The sequence below is a fragment of the Homo sapiens genome, chromosome 12 (genome assembly GCF_000001405.40).
Source record: "Homo sapiens chromosome 12, GRCh38.p14 Primary Assembly".
NCBI classification, from domain to species: Eukaryota; Metazoa; Chordata; class Mammalia; order Primates; family Hominidae; genus Homo; species Homo sapiens.
In genome coordinates this window covers 99,050,716-99,076,018 of record NC_000012.12, presented here as the reverse complement: position 1 = coordinate 99,076,018, position 25,303 = coordinate 99,050,716, and the positions used below count along the sequence as shown (strand labels likewise).

Below are 25,303 nucleotides of genomic sequence, written 5' to 3'. Positions count from 1 at the left end.
ATGTGTATTCTAATGAGAAAAATTGATTTTTATATAGAGATACCTTTGAAATGATATTTCATTATATATACATGCTATATTGTATAACATTAACATATTATATTCCTATTATAACCTATTATATACAATATGATATATATTTTATAATACAAATGTATAGTATATATAATATAAAACATATATTATATATACGATAATACATTTTTTGTTGTATATTATATATGTTATACAATAATAGATATAATAATAGATATAATGTTATATAATTATATACAATAGACAAATGTCATTAAAAGACACAAGATGCTGATAATATACTCAGGAGGAGCAGTTGACTTGCTGAAAGACTGTAAAAGATCACCTTTTTAAGAAAGAAATCATTGGTGCCATTGGATGAGAAAGGAAGAAAGAGTAATCAATGTTAAGGTCAAAAACCTAAGTTATTTGGGCTATATAAATGTTGAAGTGACAGCAAGTCATTCAGATCCCTTTTATTATTCCTTAGCCTGGCACACAGTATGATCAGGGTAATGAACCTAGCCACTGTAACAAACAGCTCCAAATTCTCAGTGGTTTAACACTGTTAAATTTATTTCTCACACATGCTAAGTCCAGTGTGGGTCAGGCAGCTCTCCTCCAACCAGTAATTCAGGGACCCTGGCTTCTTCCATCATGGACCCTTCCATCCTGGAGTTCTTTGTGGGCTGCCATGACAGCAGGGTAGAGAGGAACATAGAAGATCACTTGGGATGTTCTATTGCCAGGACAGGAAATGCATCACTTACTTTAAATCACATTTGATTCACCAGGATTCAGGTTCATAGCCCTCATTAAACTGCAAATTAGGCCAAGAAGTATTATCTCTCTTCCTAGGAATATGTGATAGAATTCCTGAGAATCTAGTCATTCTGTGCCAGAAACATCATCTCCTTCTGTACCTTAACTCTCATCCTTCTTCCCATGGGTAACTCCTATTCATTCCTTAATACTTAAGCCTTGGAGAAATCTTTACAACATCTTCTCTCTGGGATAGATGATTTAACCCTTCTGTGTTCCCATTACACCTCATAAAAACCACCTGTTGACTAATTTGTCTCTTACTCAAGATTAGGATCTTGGCCATGTTCATCTTCCTTTCCTAGGTATGGAGCACACAGATCATGAACATAGTAATGCCCAGTTAATATTTATTAGACTGGACTGAGCCAAACAAAAATGCTGATTAGAGGTCAGTTCTGAATGGGTCAGGTTAGGATGCTCAAAGATATTTCCAAACTGAGTGCCTTTATTTTTAAATGTTTTACAAAGGGATAAGGCATGTCCTTCATGTAAGCATGACAGCACTGGCGGCCTGCATTTCCTAGGGTGAGATTCATGCTTCCTGTTTACAAGTGATGACCAATAACTAGTCTGTTCTACGGGGTCACATCGAGAGAAGGAATGGCCATTGTTCATGAAGCTCTTTGCACCCTTTGAAATGACAAAGCCCCATATGTACAAAATGCAAAATCGCAATAACTGTATGGGCTGGATAGATTTTTAAACAACTGCTGGGCGTGAGAGCACGCAATTCAAACATACTTACCCATGCTCTGCTCCAAGTTTTTTGTGCAGTTTCACAAAGCAAGATGGCTACTACATTCTTCCCAAGCTAAAGAGGCAGAACTTTTTAGTGTTTTTTTTTTTTTTAAGAATTTATCTTGGAATCGTTTATTATGTAGACCACAGAGCTGAAATATCACTTTTACTCCTAATCTCCTTCTGATATTTACAGAGAAATAGGGAAGGAATTAGGCAGGAAAATAGGTTCTGATCTATTGCTATCCCCAGCAGCCGTCATCCTTCAATTCTGAGAAGTTCACCCCCATTTAATAAAGAACAGTGGCTCCCTTGGAGTTATCCTGCAATCTGTAGTGAGAGAAATAGGGCTTTAGATATCTGAGCACTTTCCCTTCCTTACATAATTCGTCAAAGAATAATCACAGTTTAGAGCTGGAAGGGACCTTTAAATCTCCAGCTCTTCCTCTCACTGGAGTCATTTCACAGGTGAGGAAACTAAGTCCCAGTCCTATTAAATGACTTGCCCCAAGGAAGATTGCTCCTTAGTAACTGAACTGGAACTAAATCCCAGATATCTGTGCTCATGACAATTGCCTCCTGAGTGAATATGGTGCTATATCAGAGACCCAAGGCTGTGAGTTGCTTGTGTGTTTGTGAAAGAAACTGAAAAGGGACAGGAAATGAAAGAACCAATTGACTAAAAGCAAGAACAGGAATCATTTATAAAATCGGCCTTCCTTTTACATTTCAGGCTTAAAAGGCAGTTTTTGCAGCCTCCATGGACCACTGAACTCCCTTCTCAAGGCTAGAAGGAAGGGTTGCAGCAGGAATCCAAGAGCTCTAGAAATACAAGAAAAAGACAAATATGAAAAAGAAGAAAAGCAGATATAGGCCATGTGAGCTGTCCAGCAGCCACCGGGGTCATTCACTTATTTATCCTTGAAGGTAGCCTGAGAGAAGCTTCACTGATAGCATACTGTGCTGTTTCAATAAGTAAAATAATCTTAATTTATTTTCCTTCTTAATCTGGGTAGAGAGGAAGGAAAAATAGGCAAGATGGAAGGTCATTCTCTAAGAGAGCAAAGACACATCTTTAGAGCATTAAACTCCAGGGAAATGACATTTTTATGGGATTAATCTAGGAAGCAGCATAATGGAATGGTTGGGAACATGGTCAGACTATCCGAGTTTGAATCTTGGCTCCATTCTTTGCCTAATTGTCTGACCATGGGCAAGTTTCTAAATCTTTCTGTGCCTGGTTCCTCACCTTTAGAATGGATGTAATGATTTCACCTTCTCTGTAGAATTAAATGGGTCAATATTTGTAAAGCACATAAAATGGAGTTTTCCAAAGCATATGTGCTATATTAGTGTCTATTAAATACACTTTTAAAAAGAAGGTTTGAAGCTGAACCAAGAAAAAAGGTAGGGTTCATTTGGCCCATTAATTGTATTGAAAATTACGACTCCAGGCATAAACGGTAAGCAAAATGTATCTCCTTTTATTTATTCATTCAATAGATATTTTTAAACCACTTACTGCATGCCAGGCACTGTACTAGCTATTGAGAATTTGGTGTTAGGAAGCAAGACTTACAAGGTCACTGTCCTCGTGCAGCTTAAATTCTAGTGAGGGACCCAGAAAAAAAGAAGTAAAACTATATAATTTCAGGTAATGATAAATGCTATGGAGAACTATTAAGCAAGAAATGGACAGAAAATGATGGGAATCTGTGAATGCTGTTTTAGGTGGATAAACTAGAATTCATACTGAGGCGGCTTAACAGAGGTTCTTAACCACCCCACTGTATTGTCTAAACGCTGTACTTCAAAGCACCCTAAGGATACTAAGGGGATAATGAGATGAGTAAGCTAAATAATCCACTTAAGTCATCTTTAAGGAACTTGCAATCTTGCAGGGGCTCAAAAAATAACTCTCTTGAGCTTTTAGTTAAATCTAATTTAATCCCAGTTTAGCCACCTACTGCTTGTGTCACCTTGGCCAAGTTACTTAAATTCTCTAATCCCAGTGTCCTTATCTATAAAACAATAGATAATAGTGGAACTTATCACATTAGGTCATTGTGAGATATAAATACAAAAATGCATATGAAGTTTCTGACATTTAGAGGAACTCAATATTAGTTATGACCACTTGCATTTGTTCAATAAATTCTCCCTAAATTAACAAAAATCAATACATTTTTGATGTTGCTTTTGCCTGGAGCCAAGAAGTAACAGAAAAGAACTCAATTACTGACCTAAGAGAGTCCGTGACTAAAAATGCCCATGACTGCATTGCATAGTGAACATTCTACTCTGAGCTAGTGGGTTTCTCACAGTGCAGTTATTCATTTTCTAGATAAGAAACTGGCAAAACTTTCCAATTTGATTGTCATCTACTAAACTGATAATTTTGAAATGTATTTAAAGATTATTGTTTAGTCCATCAGAAGCTAGAAGAGAAGGTGTTTAAAGTCATAACTCATGCCTCCCTATTTAAGAGATTAAATGGGCAGAGCACGGTGGCTCATACCTGTAATCCCAGCACTTTGGGAGGCCGAGGCAGGCAGATCACGAGGTCAGGAGTTCAAGACCACCCTGGCCAATATGTTGAAACCCCGTCTCTACTAAAAATAGCAAAAGTAGCCTGGCATGGTGGCGCGCACCTTAGTTTCAGCTACTTGGGTGCCTGAGGCGGGAGAATCACTTGAACCCGGGAGGTGGAGCTTGCAGTGAGCCAAGATCCCGCCACTGCACTCCAGCCTGGGCAACAGAGTGAGACTCCATCTCAAAAAACAAAAAAAAAAAAAAGAGAGAGATTAAATGAATAAGCCTAATACAGAGAGATCTTCCTGTCTGCATCTCTTAGAAGCAAGGACTCAATATAAATATACATAGCATAGAATGGAATGGAAGTGAACTGAGAAGCTGAGCAGTCAGATCTTGACAGTGTAGTTCCATTTAGTTGCTAAAGGCATTGTGATTTCACAGAAAAGCAGAACTGTGTGCATTTACACGAAAACTGTAAAACAGCATATTCGCCATTTTGAATAAGGCATTGTCACCTGCCTTTACCATACAATTGAAATAAGTGCTAACTTAATTGTTGAATAGAATTTGGCTATATTTCTTATTTTCCATCAATGGCATTCAAGTGAGATATTTCTGTTCAAGTTATGTCTGCAAATGAATTGAGCATTTACTTATGTCCCAAGACACAGTGCAAGGAGAAAAATAAGATGAAATTACACAGTATCTGCCTTCAAGAAGATTTTAGTCTAGCAAAGGAAGTCAGACCAATATGCAAATGATCTTAATATAGTACAAGTCAGAACATGAAACAAGCTATAATAGGAGTAAAAATAACAAGTTTTGTACGTTAAGTAAAAGGGAAGGTCTCTTCTGTTCAGGGAATCAGGAGTAGGTTCCTGGAGAAGGAGACAGATGAATCAAAAAGCCATTCCTATGTACCTTTAAAACTTACCTGTTGTGGCTGGGCGTGTTGGCTTATGCCTGTAATCCTAGCACTTTGGGAGGCCAAGGCAGGAGGATCGCGTGAGGGAAGGACTTCAAGACAAGGCTGGGCAACATAGTGAGACCCTGTCTCTCCAAAAAAATTAAAAAATTAGCCAGGCATGGTGGTACACACCTATACTCCTAGCTACTCAGGAGCTTTGCTTAAGCTCAGCAGTTAGAGAGCAGAGAGCTATGATCCCACCACTGCACTCCAGTCTGGACAGCAGAATGAGACCCTGTCTCTAAAAAAACAAATAATACATAGATCAAAGTTAAAAAAGAAAACTTCTTTGTTGTGGAAGTTTGTGATAACTCATGACACTCCAAGCAAAAAGTGATCCAAAGCATATGTTTAGCTAACAGGCAGATAGAGATGCTATTTTTTCTCATTCGTAATAACCATCCTCTGGTTATTACAGCTGAAATACAGCTAGTGCCATCAATCCAGCTATAAATTTCATTCATCACTTTGTCCTTCAAGCTATAATGAGTCAAATATTTCAAACCCAAACAAATACCTATAGTGAGCTTAATGAAGCAGGCTAAACAAGTGACATAGTTACTATTCTTCCTTCCCTAAGCTAAGCACTGTTTCATTACGTGGTATTTCTTTGTGGTTATTTTTGTGGGGGATGAGGAGGGGCGGTAATCAATGAGATTTTCTACTTCAAACCAGTAGTCCTTCCACCTATCCTTTGGCTTTGGGTTCTAGCCTGATGGTTGGTCTTCTGTGGATCCATAGTGAACTCTATCTAAAGAATACACGTTCCCCAAGATGTTCCTCAGCATGCCAGAAAGACATTCTGGGCCAAACCCCTATGTTAATAGCAATCACTTAAATAGAAAATTGCCTACGTGCCAGGCACTATTCTAAGTACTTCAGATTAACTCTAAATTAACACATTTAAATCTCAAAATTAAATCCCTATTTTGCAGGTGAAGAAATTAAAGCTCAAAGAAGTTAAGTAACTTGCCTGAGGTCACACCACTAGTAAGTGTCAGAGTCAGGATTGAAACTGGCCAGGCTGGCTCCAGAGTCTATGCCCTTAACTGCTTTCCTCTACTTCCTATTACTGGAGTGCCCCGTCTCTGTACTCTGTGGAATCACCCATCAATTTACTCATCTTGGGGAAAAAATGACTGGCCATTTTTACTATTTCACACAAGTCTATTGCTTTGTATTTTAGTAAATAGACATTCAGTTAATAGATAACTACTGCCCTTATCAAAGGAAACGAGTACCCAAGAAACTGCAAGATTCCTCTTTCATGTCTTCAAGAGGAAATACATTTTAGCTTTACTTGTTGTTCCATGAATTCATGAAGGTATAAGTGCTAAATGGATACACTTTAAATGATTTCTAAGGTTATAATTTATGAATCACAGAGTCCTGACAGGTTAAAAGCTTTTTCTTCAATGCATTATATTAGTTTTAACCCTCAACCCCTTCTTTACTTGGAAGCTACTGCTTGGTGGCAAAGGATTGTATTTACAATTTTCTAAATACTAAGAGGTAAATGTATCATAAGAAAGTTTTGAATGTGAAATTTTCCCCACAGATGTACAAGAGATTATTTCAGTAAATATAGAGAGATCAATTTCCCTGCCTGTCACCTCTGGGACTCAATTACATTATCATGCACTTCAGCCAGATCACTTTTCTGAGTGCCACGTGATGTAGACATAAAGTAACAATTACCTTGTGTCCCGAGACCCAGCAGGCTCAGAGGTAGATGAAAGGAAGCTAGAGCAACTCCAGAGGCATAACGTCTGCAAACACCCACACGGCCATGCACAGACATTCATTAGCAAATTGCTCATTGTCCATCCATTCAATCAGACTGTCTATTCATTTCAGCTCTATGCTAAGTCCAGAGATGGGAATGGAAACATGGAGAAGACTTGGTCCCTGCCTCAAGGAGTTCTGCCTGCATTTTAGACAGAGATAGATATGTCAAAAACTAGAATACTATGTGGAAAATGCTACAAGAGGAGAGAAGAGCTAAATGCATGGGGATCAGGGAAAGCTTTTTGGGCAGGTGGATGGTGCTTGAACTGAATCTCAAAGAATGAACAGGTGTTTTTAGCCAACTAGGACATTGAAGGAGTCACTTCAGACAGAGGATGCTGCCTGTGCCTGCTAGGACTAGGACTAGGACTAGGGACAATAAAGAGAAATGGATGTCCATATTCACCCTCCCTTTCTCTCTCTCTGTCTCTCTCTCTCTCTCTCTCTGCCCCCCACCCCTCCCACCTGCATCCCTCTCTCTGACAAACATGTACACACAAGCACACATACAATCACTTACTTCACCATATATTAACCCCAAGAGAAACTATAAAAGAAATTCACCCAAATGTTTCCAATCCACTCTAGCATTTTTTTCTAGAACTTATAAAAACTGGCACTTATCTTTGTATACAGTCATGTGCCATATAACAACATTTGGGTCAGTGATGAACCACATATATAAGAGGTCCCATAAGATTATAATAGAGCTGAAAAATTTCCATCACCTAGTAATTTATGTTAAGTTGCCTACAGTTTTCAGTACAGTAACATGCTGGACAAGTTTATAGACTAGGAGCAATAGCTTAGATGGTTAGCAGGTGATACCATCTAGGTTTGCGTAAGTACACTGTCTGATGTTCGCACAATGACAAAATCACCTAAGGACACATTCTGATGTATCCCTGTTGTTAAGTGACACAGAACTTTATTTGCATGTATTTCAAATGTATACCCAAGGAAATTACATATTCCTGGAAGGTAGGAACTTTATTCCCTTTTGCATTTATATAATATCTAGGATGATGTTATATATATATTGTCCTAGATATACAATATCTAGAATGATGTTATACATATGATGCACTATAGTGCCTAAAAATTCTTATTGAATTAAATAAATAATAACTACTAAAACTATTGTAAGAGTGACTCTACTGGGGATTCCCATAAATAGAGCTGAAGATTCTTAGTCACTCCATTGTCTGAGATAATTAGAAATTCTAGACTGACAAACACACATACACACACATACACACACACACACACACATGCACACACACGCACATACAACAGACTATGAGGCTGGAAACATTTTCCTAAAGATCAAGCTATTTTTTGTTGTGACTGCTGTTCTCACTCCAATGGTAGTGGAATAGTTCTTAGATTATCCCTTAACTATAAATATAAAAGGGGTTTTCAGGAACTCCAACCAGGGCTTCAAAATAGGATAACAGCAACAATCATAGAGCAACACTTCTCTGCATATTCTAGGCCTTACTGAAATTCCTTCTAATGATTCATTCAAAGTGTCTCCTGTCACATGTGCACTGTTAACTAGACTACCGCTGACCATGAGACATCTGCCCTTTTCTGCCTCTCTTGCTCTAGCCTATTGTGGTGATGTCTTCTGTCACCACAGCTTGAGACAGTGCCACCAGGACCTACCAAAAGTGCTCTCAGTCCTCTTCATACTCACTGAAGGTGCCAAATCTGCCACTAATGAATGCCAAGGGCTGCTTCAGAGCTGCAGGTGCCCAATGTGTCAAAGGTACTGATGTCTGTGTCTCTGGCTATGATACCCAGTGTCTTCCCATCAAGGGCACCTTAGCCAATGCCAACTGAATGTTCTGCCAATGCCACTGAAGCCTGCCAAAGTGGCCATCATTGCCAACTGCTGGTGCCCAATGTTGAGGGCACCAATATCTGCAATATGGCACCATCTCTTCTTGCTGACAAAGTTGCTGGTGCTAATTCTGCCTACTCCTTTTGTTCTCAATGTCCAAAAATGTTTCATGATACAGCTATTTAATTGAAACCTCTTCATCTTAAGGGATGGTCCATGGGAGACTGGCCAGGGCACAGTCAGAGTGCCAGATTTTAAAATCATTCAGAATCACCCATTCTCTCTGATACTCATCTATTATTCCTTGAATCTCTGAGCAGAGTCTTTCCAGGCCCCTGGAATCCTCACTGAGCACAGACTGCTGCAAGCCTGTCCCTGCCAGTCACCCATATGTTCCCACACACGATGAACGAATACAGTCCTCTTCAAGCTGAGACCCATGACACACAGCTGCAACCACCAAACTGACAGATTCCTGATCCATGTTAGAGAACAAGGATGATTTTATTTTGTGTTTCAGGAAATTATGCTGGTCTACCGTCAAGATACCCAGAATCTAACTACTTCTTGCTGCCTTTACTTTAGTACCTTATCCAAGCCACTAGCCCCTTCCTTCTGAATTACTTCCACAGCCTCTGAAAAGACCTATTAGCTTTACTCAACACAGCAGTCAAAGTGATTCTGCTGAAATGTAAGCCAGATCATGTCACAACTCTGCTCAAATGCATACCCTGACTCCCCATTTCCCTCAGATTGAAAGGCAATCCTTGCCAGGTCTTATAAGCCCTCACTTATCTGGCCCCTGGTTCCCTCTCTTCTCTGTGCACACACACTGCTCCAACCCCATTGGTCTCCTTGTTATTTCTTGAACATATGCTGGACCCTCCTTCCTGAGGGCCTTTGCTCTAGTTGTTCTCTCTACTTGAAATCTTCACCCTCAACACAGCCAATCCACCGTCTTTATTTTTTACTTTTTTATTTTTTGAGACAGAGTTTTGCTTTGTCACCCAGGCTGGAGTGCAGTGGCACAATCTCAACACACTGCATCCTCTGCCTCCTGGGTTCAAGCAATTCTCGCGCCTCAACCTAACCTCCTGAGTAGCTGGGATTACAGGCACATACCACCATGCCTGGCTGGGTTTTTGTATTTTAGTAGCGATAGAGTTTCACCATGTTGTTCAGGCTAGTCTCGAACTCCTGAGCTCAGGCAATCTGCCCTCCTCGGCCTCCCAAAGTTCTGGGATTACAGACATGAGTCACTGTGCCCAGCCAATCCACTGTCTTTAAATCTTTGTCCAAATCTTCTCCTCTGAATGAAACTTCCCCTAACCACGCTATTTAATACTGCACCTGCCACACCATACACACACTCCAGTACTTCCGATCCCCCCACTGCACTTTCTCTTTTTTCACAGCACTTATCACCTTCTAACAGACTATATACTTTATTTATTATGCTTATTAATTATTATCTGTCTTCCCCACTTAGAAGGTAAACCCCACAAGGACTGGCACCTTCATATGTTTTGTTCACTGACACATCCAGAACAGTGCTTAGAATATAGCAAACATACTGTTAGTATTTGTTGAGTAAATAAGTGGGTGGACGGATGGATGGTTGGATGGATGGATGGATGGATGGATGGATGGATGGATGGATGGATGGGATGGATGGATGGATGGATGGATGGATGGATGGATGGATGGATGGATGAATGGAATGGATGGTAGGTCCTCATTTTTGTAACTCCCTAAGTGAACGTGAGTATACTCCTGTTTGACCACCATGTGAATGACATATTTTGTACTGCTCTACCCAGGTAGAACATAAGTCATTCATTTGTGTACTGCTAATTCTGGTTGTGTGGTACATTTATCTGCTTGAAGTACTTCTGTGGATTATGTTATTATGCATGTGCCTGGAGGCTCTGAGAAAGGACATGGTTTTTAAATATCAAATAAATAGAATTGACATTCAGGGCATTCATTATCTTCTGAAGACTCAAGTTTGGGGAAATTATTTTAGTTGAGACTAAAAGTATGCAAATGATATTCCTGATTAATAGTAGCATTTAAAGTTTCTGTTTGAAGAGCAAAGCAGTGTACTATATAACCACCAAATAGCTGCATGAATGACAGAAAACATGTACTGTCAGAGAAAAAAAGAGACCCCGTGTCTTTTTTCTAAATATAGTTCACATCACTAGTAGAGCTTGGAAATGTGAATGCTAGTGAACATTGTTCAGCGCCTTATTCTAGTTGCAGTAAATCCTCTGTTCATCTTTAATCTGAACTCTTGCTTCATAAAAAAAGCTTTGCAACAAGGAAACATATCAAAACAAATAACGATGTTTAACAAAAGGCTCTAGGGTCAACATTACCTCAACAAGAATTTTAGAAATGAAAAGATGGTAAAAACATTTCCTCTTATTAAATTTTTAAAAACACCTCTTTTACGCAAAGCTTCAGGGAGAGGTACAACAAAACCATTCAATAAAATAATTCAACCCCAAGGACCATGTTATATGTCTACTGTGTTAGGGCTCTACTGGTCTTTTCATCTGCATCCCACACAGATCCTACATGGCAGATAGCATTTCTCAAGTGCTGCTACAGATAGAGTTAATCTCCCTGGGCACAGATGAAGCTAAAAAGAGCAGTGCCTGACTAGTAGCTCTCACACACGGCTTGAAATAAGACAGATTGTTTTGTAGTTGTTGCTGTAGCGGTTGACCTTTTTTCCCAAGGATGCTTTATAGAACTTGGCTGCATTGGCAACTTAACTCCTTTAACTTGTAGTCTTCCCAGTGCCTTTGTCCAGAGGGCGTGCCCCTATCCCTGATGACTAGAGACAGGGCCAGTCTAGTGCTTCTAGGCTATTCTGTGCTGTTGGAAGCTGATCCCCTATGTGTCTTGAAAACATTTTTAAATCTAGTCCTTCATTGCTGTCCATTGCTTCACTTCTATTTTACTCCATGATCTAAGACTTTTCAAAATTAGGGATACCTCAGGCCCTCTCTGGAATAGACCTTAATTCATTTCTCTTTTTCACGAAATAGAAAACCTAGAACATTGAGAGACAGTGTCTAGTCCAAAGCACTTTCCTTTCCCTTTATTTCCCAAAAATGTAGTATCAAGTAATATCCAGATACTACTTCTTCACTGCTTCTGCCTTATGCCTACAGCTGGGAGTCTTCAATATCTGAACACTCAAGGAACCCCAAATCAGTAAGGCTCAGTCAGTGGTGGGAAAAATAATAGAGGGGTTACCACTTTCTGTAGCTGTGAGTTCGTAGTGACATCAGACACAGTTTTCTTACTTCTGAGGGTTTATGTTTCTCTTTATTCTTTTATAGAAATTGTATCCATAACAGAGTCTAATTGTAAACAAAGGAGCTGCAAGTAGCAGACGTATTTGTACATGTATACCTCCCTTGCTACAGATGCACAACACAGAGAGTTTATCACTCCTTGCTTTCCAACAACAGTCACAGTATATTAATCCTTTCCATTCCCACAGAAGGAATATAATTATATGGGATACTCAGGCTCTCAGACTCCTTAAAGGGTGTCTTCCTAAAGATCACCTAAAACACTTTACAACTGAGGTGACATGCGTGAAATCACTTGAGGCTCTTTAAAGTCCCACATCATTGTTAAGTGATGTTCTTATCATTAACAGTGCTCAGCATTTTGGAGACGTCCCTCCCAGCAAAGTTGCACTGCCGTAGATAGCACTCAGATGGTGATAGGTAGACTTTTTTCTGGGGCCTCGTGGTCAGAAGATCAGCCTTTCTCTTTTATGTTCAATCAGCCTTTTAAGAGCCACTGATGAAACAGCACAGTGATGTCTAAGCCCAGGTCTCACAGCCTGTAGATTTGATCCTCACACTACTTGATAGACCTGCATTTGGACTTGGCAGCACACTGTCTGCTAGCACTGCTTGTCCTCGTTTATTTTCAGGACTGCTGTTAGTCCAAGACTTGGGTAGCAGCAGGACAGAGCAGAAGAGTCTAGAACAAGGAGCCAGAATAGAGGGAAGTACCTGACGATATCAGCTATCTGTATTACAAAAGCCATATCAGGCAGGAAATCTGAGTGTACAAAGTACATCCAGGTGGGAAAAGAGAAGCCACGGTCCACGGCAGCTTCCTAGGCAAGTTTAAGTAGCTGAGCCTGGCACATCAGGGATATCGGCACTGGTGGGTCTATGTAAATGATAGGTTGCTGTGTTTGTATCTGAGGAGTGAAGACAACACAGGCGACAGCTCTTGCCCACGTGAGGACCTTCACCAGAAGGTCACAGGTACTTCACGTACAAGCATCCAGCTCTCACCAAGTCTAAACCATGTAGCTTCCAAACACTCGCACTGTTTTAACACAGAGTATTCACCCTGAAGTTAGCTCCAACCATCCTTGTCAGATCCGTAATTTCAAGAAAGGAGGGCAAAGTGTCAAAGCAAAAGGCAAGCCCTCCCCTGCAATCTCCACTGCACCCTGGAACTTAACTGTTTTATGACTCTGACCCTTCTCAACCCTGAGTCCTCATTTCTTTACCCCTTTCCATGTGTTTTCCTCTGTGCTTTCTAAAATCTCATCTCCCCCTTTTCTTCCCATACAAACTCCCCAACCTAGGGCAGCTCAGCTTCTGTGCTCTTCTCAATAAGGTGTCTGGTGACCTATTTCCGATGACCTATTTGTGATCCCACAAACCCTTCTCCTTCATCATTTTATTAGACGTCTCTGCAGCATCCCCTCACTGCTGACCACACTCTCCTTGACACTCTTATTTCCCCCATTTCTTTTCTTGTCCTGACCATTCCTTCTTTGGTCTCCTGAGTATTATTTTTATCTGTTCCTTATGCATTGAAAGTGTTGGTTCATTCTCAGGCCACTTCTCTTCTCACACTACAAAGTCACCTCTGCAGTCCTACCTGTGCATGATTTCAGCTGTCAGAAAAAAAATAACAAAGATTTATTGAGTGCTTCTGTGTGCCAAGTATTGTGCTAAATTCTCCTTGTGTAGTTTCATTGAATACATATGGCAACGCTCAGCGATAGATATTCTTTTAATCTTTCACATTACTAATCAGAAAATGGATGCTTAGGAAGTATGAGTGATTTGCTCGAGGTCAGATAGCTAATAAGTGGAGTTGCCAACACTCTTACCTGTACTTTGATGATGCCCAAGGCCGCGTGTCTCCCCAGACTTCTCCAAATTTAAAGTGCCATTCCACAGCATAGCATCTTAAATTTCTCATGTCTCAAAATTATTCATGTCATCCCAGTCTATTTTCTTTTCTCTTTTACCTGGTAACACCACCATTTGCCCAGATATCCAAGCTAGAAACTTGGGGTTTCCCTGCATTTTTCTCCTCTTATCCCTTGCATAGTTGTTACAAAGGGATGATGCTGTGATTGACAGAGAAATGCCAACAAACACAGTTAAAGGAAATGAAGCTTCTTTAACGATAACAGATGTGAAAACTTACGGCCCCACAAAACAAGAGATAATACAATGTAATGTCAAATGGAAGTACAGGCTTCATTTAAATGTTCTACATGAAACTGCCTTATTTTTAGTTATGTTTGTATTCAAGGAAAGGCTATGATACTGAAATAGAGACATTCATAATATAGTGGTTTAAAGAATCGAATATTAATTTCTCTCATATAATAGTCTTGAAATGAGCAGTGCAGGTTTACAAGGTGGCTTTGCTCTATGCAATTGTGGAAGGACCGAGGACCTTCTATTTGTTGTTCTGTCATCCTCCAAAGCACTACTACTCAAAGTGTGGTTCATGGGCTGACAGCATTAGCATCACCAGGAAGCTGGTTAGAAATGCAGAATCTCCAATCCTCCCTCCAAATAACGGAATTAGAATCGTCTGCTAATAAGATTCTCTGCATGATTCCTAAGCACGTTGAGGTCTGAGAAGCATTTCCCAGACTCCAGGGTATTGTTTTGCCTGTGTAGTCAAAGCTGAACTGCAGTCACTGATGTTCCAGCTTATAGGAAGATGAAGAAAAAAGAGGAATTCTAGGTCGAGGAACTTCTTTTAGCTAGAGGTGACCTGAAAGTTACATGCAACACTTTCATTAGCATTCCACAGGCTCAACCATATTTTCACAGCAGCAACCAGAAAAAAAGCTGATGTATCTTGTCTCTAGTCCGGCAGGCATGAACCCAATTTAACCCCATTATGTGGAAGAAGAGAGGACAAGTTTAAGGGAACAACAAGTAGTCTTTTTCTCAATTTTCTAACACTTTTGGACATAAAAATGCCTGTCTAATCCATTATTGGCTTTTCAGGGTTCCTTATCCTCTTGTTCTAAATACCATGCCAATATCATAATTCTAGGTTAATAAGTTGTCCCATCAAGAACTACTTTTCTCATTTAATCCCAAAGCTATTATAATGTATATCACCTTTCTCTCTCTTTTTATTTTTTTTACCTGTTTTTATTGCCTTCCTCCTGCTATACCTTCCATCCTGTGGCTCCGTCATCTCATAAGATATTATCCTTATCTGCACAGAAAATGCTGGCTTCAGGCAAAGAGAAAGAATGATGGAATGACAGGCTCTCTCTCTCTATATATATGTGTGTGTGTGTGTGTGTGTGTGTGTGTGTGTGTGTGTGTGTGTGTGATGTGTATATATGTATATGTGTGTATATATATATATAACCACATATATATAACAGATCCATAATATTTCAAATAAAGCTAAAAAGTTAAGAGAAAATAAAATCATAGTGGTCATGTAATCTTACAAAAGTCTTCTAGATTCGTGGTTTTCAAACATTTCTTTTTAAAGCCGAGAAAACCTTTCTTCCTCTTACTTGTATAAAACGCATAAAATAAGAGTTACTCTGGTTGAAGTCGATCAAGCAGTCTCAGAGCATGGGTTGTTCAGCTGCCCCGTAGCTGACCCCCTCAAACCCAGAACTCCACAGAGTACTGTCCTGTGGTTTCTCTGCCTGCTGTACCACCTGTGATGTTAACAGCATACTCTCTCTGAGGCCAAGTATGCTCTAAAAAACTCCTGGAGGAAAGTCATTTGGGTGGAACAAGAACAAGGAAGGCATTTGGCAAAAAAAAAATATGTTAATATATCTCAATTTTCCCAAGACTAAAGCTTCACTGCTATCTCGAATTTCTGTCTCAGCTTAGGTTTTTCCAGACTTTGGAATTCAACTAATTGAATCAAATTGCCTTGTTGCGAGCCTCTGTAATGAATGCCTGCTGCCTGCTCACCACTCTGCCTCTCAGATTATAGAGTGAGCCTGACTTCCGTTCATGCTTAGCAGCACTGCTGGCCTGGCAGGCCGATGGAGCTGTCACTTCCTAGCCCTGTCTTGCCAGATGTTCCCGCTGGAAAAAAAGTTTCATCATTGCTAATTTGAGAATGCAGTCACAGTGCTCCCTGTGGGTACTGCTGAAGATACATGAAAGAAATGTGAATGCCATCTGACCTTTAGTCTACACGTCCTATCATATATATATATATATATGAATTTTAGTTTTGTCTTTGGGCTTATTTTTTCTTTCCTGGGTAAACAAATAGGTTACTAATTTAAAATTAATTTACGAGTCATGGAATTGCAAAATTTAGGAATTACAAAGCAGCTTTGAGATCCTTGGTCCAATACCTTCATTTTATAGCTGACACCACTGAAGCTTAGAGAGATGAAGTGACTTGCCCATGGCTACATGGCTAATAGAATCAAGTCTTCTGTGCTATGGAAACAAAGTCCATTGCATTCTGTAACACAATATCCTATCTGGAACTGGTTCTTGATATATGGAGGTTTTAAATAGTTATGAATGTTATTGTTAGGCAGAAAAAGATAACCTTAGTTTTCATAACATGGAGTACAAAATACAAATCTCTCCCACAAATGGATACCAAGCCACTGAAATGAATTTGTCATTTTGTCTTCATGTATTCATTAAGTCACTTAATTTAACAAACATTTAGCATATGCTTGCCATATGTGAGATGCTCTGCTGGACGATTTAGGGACTTCAAAAATGATTAACACCTCATTTCTTCACCAAGGGGTAGGCAGTCCAATGAAGAAGACAGATACTCACTTCTCTATTATTGAAAGCAGACTTTAATAATACTATAATAGAACTCTATGGAAAATACTACAGAAATATAGCAGAAGATATGATTTTTCGGTGGAATAATGGTAACATTAGAGAAAGATTCACACAGGAGGTAACGTTTAAACAGGACCTTTTAAGGATAGATAGAATTGGCCGGGCGCGGTGGCTCACGCCTGTAATCCCAGCACTTTGGGAGGCCGAGGCGGGCGGATCACGAGGTCAGGAGATCGAGACCATCCTGGCTAACACGGTGAAACCCCGTCTCTACTAAAAATACAAAAAATTAGCCGGGCGTGGTAGCGGGCGCCTGTAGTCCCAGCTACTCGGGAGGCTGAGGCAGGAGAATGGCGTGAACCTGGGAGGCGGAGCTTGCAGTGAGCCGAGATCGCGCCACTGCACTCCAGCCTGGGCGACAGAGCGAGACTCCGTCTCAAAAAAAAAAAAAAAAAAAAAAAAAAAAAAAAAAAAGGATAGATAGAATTTCATTAGGAGAAAAAGTAGAAACTGTATTCCTAGCAGAGGGAATGGCATGAGCGAAGATGTGGAGGTATATTACATGTACAGTGGATTATGCCCCAAAAATCAAACTCATACAATAAAGAATTACTTAGTTTAGGGTTAATAAAGAGGCAGCATATAGGGCAGGGGCAGTGGCTTGTGCCTGTAATCCCAACACTTTGGGAGGTTGAGGCAGGCAGATCGCTTGAGCTCAGGAGTTTGAGACCAGCCTGGGCAACACGGTGAAACCCTGGTCTCAACTAAAAATACAAAAGAAAATTAGCCGGGTGTAGTGGTGCACACCTGTGGTCCCAGCTACTAGGGAAGCCGAGGTGGGAGGATTGCTTGAACCTAGGAGGCGGAGGCTGCAGTGAGCCAAGATTGCACCACTGCATTCCAGCCTGGGTGCCCGGGTGACAGAGTGAGACTCTGTCTTAAAAAAAAAAAAAAAAAAAAAAGATGTGGCATGCAGAGTTTCTGCATGACAGTGAGGTAGCTTGGGAAGGATACTGATGTTTGCTTATTCAGCATCCCTAATCTTTCTCAGTCTCATGAAGATGCATTTGCCAATAGATTCATAAACTAAAAGGTCTGATTTATATTCCACAGGCATAATGGATAAACACCAAGGGTTTTTAAACAAGGAGTGACTATTCAGTTTTTCCCTGTAATCAAAATTTCAGTAGTTCACAGCAACAACAACAAAAAATATTTTTTTCTTACTCACGGGTCTGCTGTGCTTCAGCTAACTTCATCTGGACTTTCCTGAGCCCCATCGAGCTAGGGTAGATTCCAAGCTTTGGGTTAAATTTAGGTTTGCTCCACGAGTCTTCATCTTTCTCCTAGAACCAGGAGTTATGCAACTTCTCAGCACTTGCTATTCTTATGAGAGAGCATATGAACACTGAAAGATTAGTAGAACACAGGAGCACAGAGACCTCGTCTCTAACCACCACACTGACACTTCACGCATTCTATTGGCCAGCATTGATGAGACTGGGAAGTAACTCCAGCCACACTGAGACATAATGTTGATCCCTTGGCAAAGGGCACAGGGGCATAATTCTAATACAGTAAGAGAACGAAGAATTGGAATAAACAGTTCAATCGACTTGAGTGACCTCGTTAGATATGTTTCTAAAAAATAACTGTCGGCTGAAGGGGAGAGGGGTAAAGATGTTAGCAGATGCAAACCATTTCTAAAACAAGATAAAGAAGGAAGGAAATAGAGGAAATAGGAAGGGATGAGAGAGGAGAGCTTTGATTGGAAGCTGAAAAGACTAGCAGCCAATGGCAGAATATTATGCAATTTCAAAATAAGCATGGGTCTAATTTAGGGCAATGGGGAGAAAAGAGAACTAAGAGTTATAATTGAATAGCTATTATATTCAAATCACTGTGCTAGGCAATTTTTATTCCCTATTTCATATAATCTTTACAACAACACTTGGAATAGGTATTATTATGCTTATTCTAAAAAAGAGGAAACAGGCTGAAAGAGTAACTTGCCAAAGATCACCCAACAAATACGTAGCACTGCTGGGAATGTCATATTCCAAAGTCCATTTTGGAAGAAGAGAAATGAATTGAGAGTCATCTTAGAAATCAAATTGATAGACCATGTTGGCCTAATTAGATATGATAGTAAACAGAAAGAGGAAAGTAAGATAACTCCCAAGCTTCTGCTTGGGCAGTGGAGTAATAGTTGCCCTTAACTGAAATGGAAAAAAAGAGGAAGAGAGCCTGTTTTTGAACTAAAGGAGTTAAATTTGTTTTTGACTTATGTTGGTGACACCTATAGGACATTTATGTGAGATGTCCTACAAATGGTTAGAAATTTGCATCTCAGAGCTCAAGAAGAGAAGCCAGTCCTGAAGAAATCACTCCAGAAGCAGGGGCAAAAGCATTCCAAGCATGGGAAGTTATATTAGCAAAGATATTGACTGTGTCATATACAGGTCATTTTCAGGGAATGCCTAGCGATTTAATGTACTGTTTAGACATACACGTGTCTAGTTACATTTATTGGGTACACAATAGCAGAGGAGTGGGAGATTAGGCTAATCTCAATCGGCCTTGAATGCTGGAATAGGACATTTGGACTTTTTTCGAGAAGGAGCCACTACAGGCTTTTATACAAAGGTACACTTAAGGGTCTGACTTTTAGGAAGACTAATGTAGTAGCAAGATACAAGCTGGATCAAAGGTGGGAGACCATGTAGAAGGCTATTGTGTTAGTTTTTGTAAGCACTAACAAGAACCTAAACAGGGTAATGGCAGTAGGGACAGAAATAAAGGAACAGATGGGATCATTGCTTTGGAAGAAATTATTGTGCAGCACAGTAACTATTCTGCATATCATTAAATATGTGTCAAGTTAATTTTGTAACTGCATTTGGCTCTAATGGTTTCCTCTCTTCAGGTATGCAGAACCTTCATAATTTATTGGTCATCTGTTTGCATATTTTAATTAAGAGTTATAATCTCCATGAGGGAGAGACTATGACTGTTTTGTTCTCTACCATTTCCACAACATTCATCAGAATAGGCATTGATTAAATATTTATTGAATGAGTGGGCGGATGATACTGCCCTGTACACCTCAGCATACCCATTTCCAAGGTCTCTTCAGTTGTGCTCTCTACCCTGCCCTTGTCTTTCATCCTCCCACCAAATATTTCCCTCCCTCTCACCTCTTTAAGATTGGTCTAGGAGAACTTGCCTTACAGGAGTAATCAGACCACTGAACAGCCTGCATTCCGTGCAATCCTGATATGATGGTTGCTGTTTTATTTTATTTTTTTATTTTCCAATCATTCAACCAAGCTCAACTGACCCTCCCTTTACTATTTATAAATATCATCTCAGACATTTCCAATAACTTTCCAACCATGTAAAATGTTGAAGGCTCAGTTCCAATTTATTTGAAACCTCCAGTTTTATTTTCCTCACCACCTCCCCCCCCCCCAAGTTTAGACTTCCCCTAAGGGACTGGCACTTCTCTCTTCTGATTCTAAATTTTCTGGCATTGGGACAAGAAAGGGGGATTGGAGGGACAAGCAAACATCTTTGTACTTACCTAGATTTTCTTTGCAGTCCTGTCATGGGTTCCCTGATTCTTTGGCCACCACCGACCATCAACACCCTCTGTGTGTCAGATGGCCACTAATTGCTTCCTCAAAAGAGTGTTGTGTAAGTGCTTGGGGGTAACCTGTGGTAACCCCATTGCACAGTTCACTGGTATGAGACAACTGACTTTGACCCAAATCCAGTCATCAAGACTCCCTAAGCTTTTCCCGAGTATCTGCTGCTGGAGTGGTCAGCTTTATGGATGGGCCAACGGCAAGACCTCCCTACTAAGCAGTTAACTTCAACCTTAGTGTTTCTCACTTTCTTCCCTTTCTTTCTTATTTCATGTCACTGGGGCAGTCAGGAAGATTCCTGGGGCCAGAGTGATTATTTAGGTTAACAGAGTTAGTTCAACCACCTTTTAACGAGGCCTGGAGAATGTACCCAGCCCCAATATTTTTGTAATTCTCTATAGAATATGAAGCTACCGAATATCTATGAGCCTCCCTTTTGGGTCCTAGCCTCTGATCTTATACATACATAACATCCAGGGATTTGTGAATGCCACTGACTTTCATTCTGCAAATGCTGAGTTGTCATTTACATTTGTAGCTACCACATAATAAACACAGAGTTAAGTGTTACATGAACAAATATTTAATGAGTAGCTAAAATGGGTCAGTCAATGTAAAAGTGAAGTACAAAAGTCTGACCAAGTTCAGACTCTAATGTAAATAATAAATTGTACTCTAACTTTAAAATAGAGAACATTTAGGCCAGGAGCAGTGGCTCATGCCTGTAATCCCAGCACTTTGGGAGGAAGCCAAGGCAGGTGAATCACTTGAGGTCAGGAGTTTGAGACCAGCCTGGCCAACATGGTGAAACTCTGTCTCTTAGTAGAGACACATACAAAAATTAGCCAGGCTTGGTGACACTCACCTGTAGTTCCAGCTACTCGGGAGGCTGAGGAATGAGAATTGCTTGAACCCAGGAGGTGGAGGTTGCAGTGAGCTGAGATCACACCACTGCACTCCAGCCTGGGCAATAGAGCAAGACTCCATTTCAAAAAAAATAAAATAAAACAGAGAACATTTAAACTTTGAAATGGAAACTAGAATGGGGAGCGGAACAACTGGAAAAGAGAAAAAGTAACTTTAAAATGAAGGAGTAGGGAGAATCTCAAAAATGAGAACCATGCATAGTGATAGAAAGCTTACCATGTTTAAGATTAAAATCTGAATCCCTGATTCCCAGACTAATCTTTTCTCTGCTCGCAAATCAGAATCATATAAATTTCCATTAATATTTATCTCTTTGAATCAAAGAAAGAGGAAAATCTATGTTGTGTTTTGCCCAGCCTTGCTGTTTCCATCGTGAATTTTACCGAAGGCCCCCATCAGGTTGATGAGGTGCCAGCTCTCCTGAAAAACTGAAGTATTAGATATACGGCGTGGCATGCAAAGCAGCCCAAGTTTTAGAAGTGAGTCACTTCGAAAACCAAGAACCACAGATTCAGCTACAATTTCAAATAAAAGCTAAAGGACCAGAATAATCCATACAAAATTTTAAACCCAGAAGTTCCTCTTGCTTAAATTACTTTCACACTCCAATTTAAACTCAGAAACATTATGTTGCTGTCACATTTCTTTGTTCTCCTATTTTTTAAAAATCTGTATATAGCTGACAAAAAATAGATGCCTGTCTGCCAGCAAGTTCTCTATTCATGTCTAACATACTGTAGAGTCGATGCAGAACACATGGTCTTAAAATACCCAAAGGCCTCTCCTTTACTGGTTCACCGCAGCAGTATGTTTCTCCAGCGTGTTTGCACTACCTCCAATACATGTCTTGCATAAGCACAAATTCCCTTTGAATGCTTAAGTCATGCAGTATTTTCACATGCTTTGGTGCTGTGCATATGAGAATTATCATCTACATGTTGAAAGTGCACTTCCTGGTGACTTTCGCATCGAATTTAATGCCATTCAACTGACATCATTTTTAATTCCACCCACCAGAATGCCAATAATGTCTATGACAGAAGTTTGACATGTTTAGCTCTTCCAAATATAGAGTTAATCTAGCAGCTAAATTGGAAATTTCTGTGTATATTTTGAAAACCTATTCAGCGTGAAAATTATTAATGTTTTAGAATTGTGAAAACACATCAGAAAGTGTTTTCTTTTTCCTTGTTTCCGTCTCCAGAAAGATCTGTTCTTCATGTCAAATAAATTTTCAAGGGGAAATCTGCATTCTGTTGTTGGGACACAAAGTATACAGTTTAATCCTAATGTAATTTTCTTTATTACAGATGAGACCCATTGGGCATGATGGCTACCATCCCACCTCTGTAGCTGAGTGGCTGGATTCCATTGAACTGGGCGACTACACCAAAGCCTTTCTAATTAATGGCTACACTTCGATGGACCTGTTGAAAAAAATCTGGGAGGTTGAACTTATTAATGTAAGTTGGTCTCTTAGTGACACCTTAACTATTCAACCCTTGATAAATGAAATTTAATTTTCTTTTTTTATAAGTGTTTGGACATCCAATGGGGATTTATAGATATGCCTTCTGTTTTAAATATCGATCTCTCTCAAGCTCCAGAGTCATTGTCTTTTGAAGTTTAAATGTGGGGGAACTAAGAGGTAAAGAGAGAACTCCCAGGGTATTTTGCATTATCCAAGAAAATCTTCCAAGCATTTTTGTGTTCTCCTTTTTAGGAAATTTTTTCAGTTATAGGATATAGATATGATAATAAATAGGTTCCTATTCTGATCTTTGCTCATATTCACTGTTAAAGATTTAAATTATCATTTTTTTAGTTTTCTATCTCTATCATGTTTCCTTGTCTCTATTTCTTTTTTTTTTTTTTTTTTTTTTTTGAGACGGAGTCTCGCTCTGTCGCCCAGGTCGGACTGCGGACTGCAGTGGCGCAATCTCGGCTCACTGCAAGCTCCGCTTCCCGGGTTCACGCCATTCTCCTGCCTCAGCCTCCCGAGTAGCTGGGACTACAGGCGCCCGCCACCGCGCCCGGCTAATTTTTTGTATTTTTTAGTAGAGACGGGGTTTCACCTTGTTAGCCAGGATGGTCTCGATCTCCTGACCTCATGATCCACCCGCCTCGGCCTCCCAAAGTGCTGGGATTACAGGCGTGAGCCACCGCGCCCGGCCCCTTGTCTCTATTTCTTAATCACATATACAAATCCCACACTCCAAGAGACTGCTTTTATTCTTACTAAATAGGCTGCTGTATTATCAAAATTTTATTTTCTGAAGCTAGTGTCTAATCTTACGTTGTCTCTGTTTTATTCATACACTTAGCATAGATTTCCTATAAAAACTGGCCAACATATGTTGCCAAATAGTCAAGCCCAAAGAGATCAACTGAATCTGCATACATGACTTTGATACTTTTCTCATTGCATTTTTACTTTTGTTATTTTCTAGCATAAATGAAGGAATAAGATGAAAATGTAACATAAAATGGTCATTCATTTGAATTGTATTTGGCATAGCACACATTTCTTTTTAACAGTAACAATGAGAAATCACTTAGGTTTTTAAAGAATAGTTTTAGTTTTATAGTAAATGATTGAGGAAAATGGCATTTATGAACTAAGAGATAAAGCAAATAAGTTTCTGCTGGTTCAAAAGTGCTCTGTTCTACTCTTTATGTCACTTTCTCGCCAAAAGTCCCGGTTCTACACATTACATGCCATTGCTTATTTTAAATGATGGTTATTATTAGTAACTAATTAATTCCTTGCTTTTAAAAGTCTTTCTGAAAAAATAATGTCTTTTCTAGAACATCGTATAGAAATTGTTCTTGAATCTAAAAGTCACATTAAATAGACAAATTAATGTGATTGTATGGCCATAAGTAACTCTTTCTTAACTTTCTGCTTCTTATGCCCTCACAAAAGCTATCATTATTTCAGAAGAGACTCATTGTCTAACATAAAGCCTTTGGTTAATTTCATTCAGTCTGTGTGGCAACGGAACTAACTGAAACAGTATTGCTTTTTGGTCGCAGCAGGCTAAGATTTCAATTCTCTGTCAAGAACTTGACACTCATCACATGGCTACTCATAGATATTTTTTAAAGGGGTACCTTCCATACATCAACCAAACAATCTTCCAACTTAAGTTGCATCCCAGTTAATTAGTTAATGGAATAGCTTGAAAAATATCCCTATGTAACATTTTCTGAATCACACTGCTACCTAATGAAGAATTAATACTTACAATAGGTAGCACATGAATCACTCACCTAGCTAGCATTAGCAGTAATCTCCCATTGTAAAGAATGGATTTCAATAGGACTCTATTATATGTTTTCACTGAAGTAAGGATCACTTACAATGTGAGGCTCTATGTCTCTCAAAATCCAAAGGCCTGAACTAGTGTTTAAGATGTAAGCTTGGGCACTCACTTTCCCCAGTGCCGGGGGTACCTGTGGCCTAGAGATCCTTGTTTAGTGACTGCAGCCAGACCTTGTAGACAGCTGCAGTGACTATGGGGATCACGGCCCCTGGCTTTACTGCCGGGGCTTAGGGACTGATCCACCACCACCCATGAGGCCAATCAGCCTTGACTTGAGACAGAAAATTAGTCTTTTCTAGTCAGGCGTGGTGGTTCACGCCGGTAATCCCAGCACTTTGGGAGGTCGAGGCGGGCGGATCACAACATCAGGAGATCAGACCATCCTGGCTAACATGGTGAAACCCTGCCTCTATGAAAAATACAAAAAAAAAAAAATTAGCCGGGCGTGGTGGCGGGCACCTGTAGTCCCAGCTACTCGGGAGGCTGAGGCAGGAGAATGGCATGAACCCAGGAGGCAGAGCTTGCAGTGAGCAGAGATCGCGCCACTGCACTCCAGCCTGGGTGACTGAGCAAGACTC

The 25,303-nt window shown here is 39.9% G+C and overlaps 1 protein-coding gene across 51 annotated transcripts in view; it reads left to right on the top strand.

Annotated features, from left to right (window-relative positions):
* ANKS1B (ankyrin repeat and sterile alpha motif domain containing 1B) overlaps positions 1–25,303 on the top strand; it is a 1,250,151-nt gene that overhangs the window by 908,918 nt on the left and 315,930 nt on the right. For all 51 annotated transcript variants that reach the window (XM_006719514.5, XM_006719507.5, NM_020140.4 and 48 more), the window contains one exon: positions 22,710–22,862. In XM_006719514.5, the coding sequence (XP_006719577.1) occupies positions 22,710–22,862 (153 nt within the window). The remainder of the gene's footprint in view (positions 1–22,709; positions 22,863–25,303) is intronic.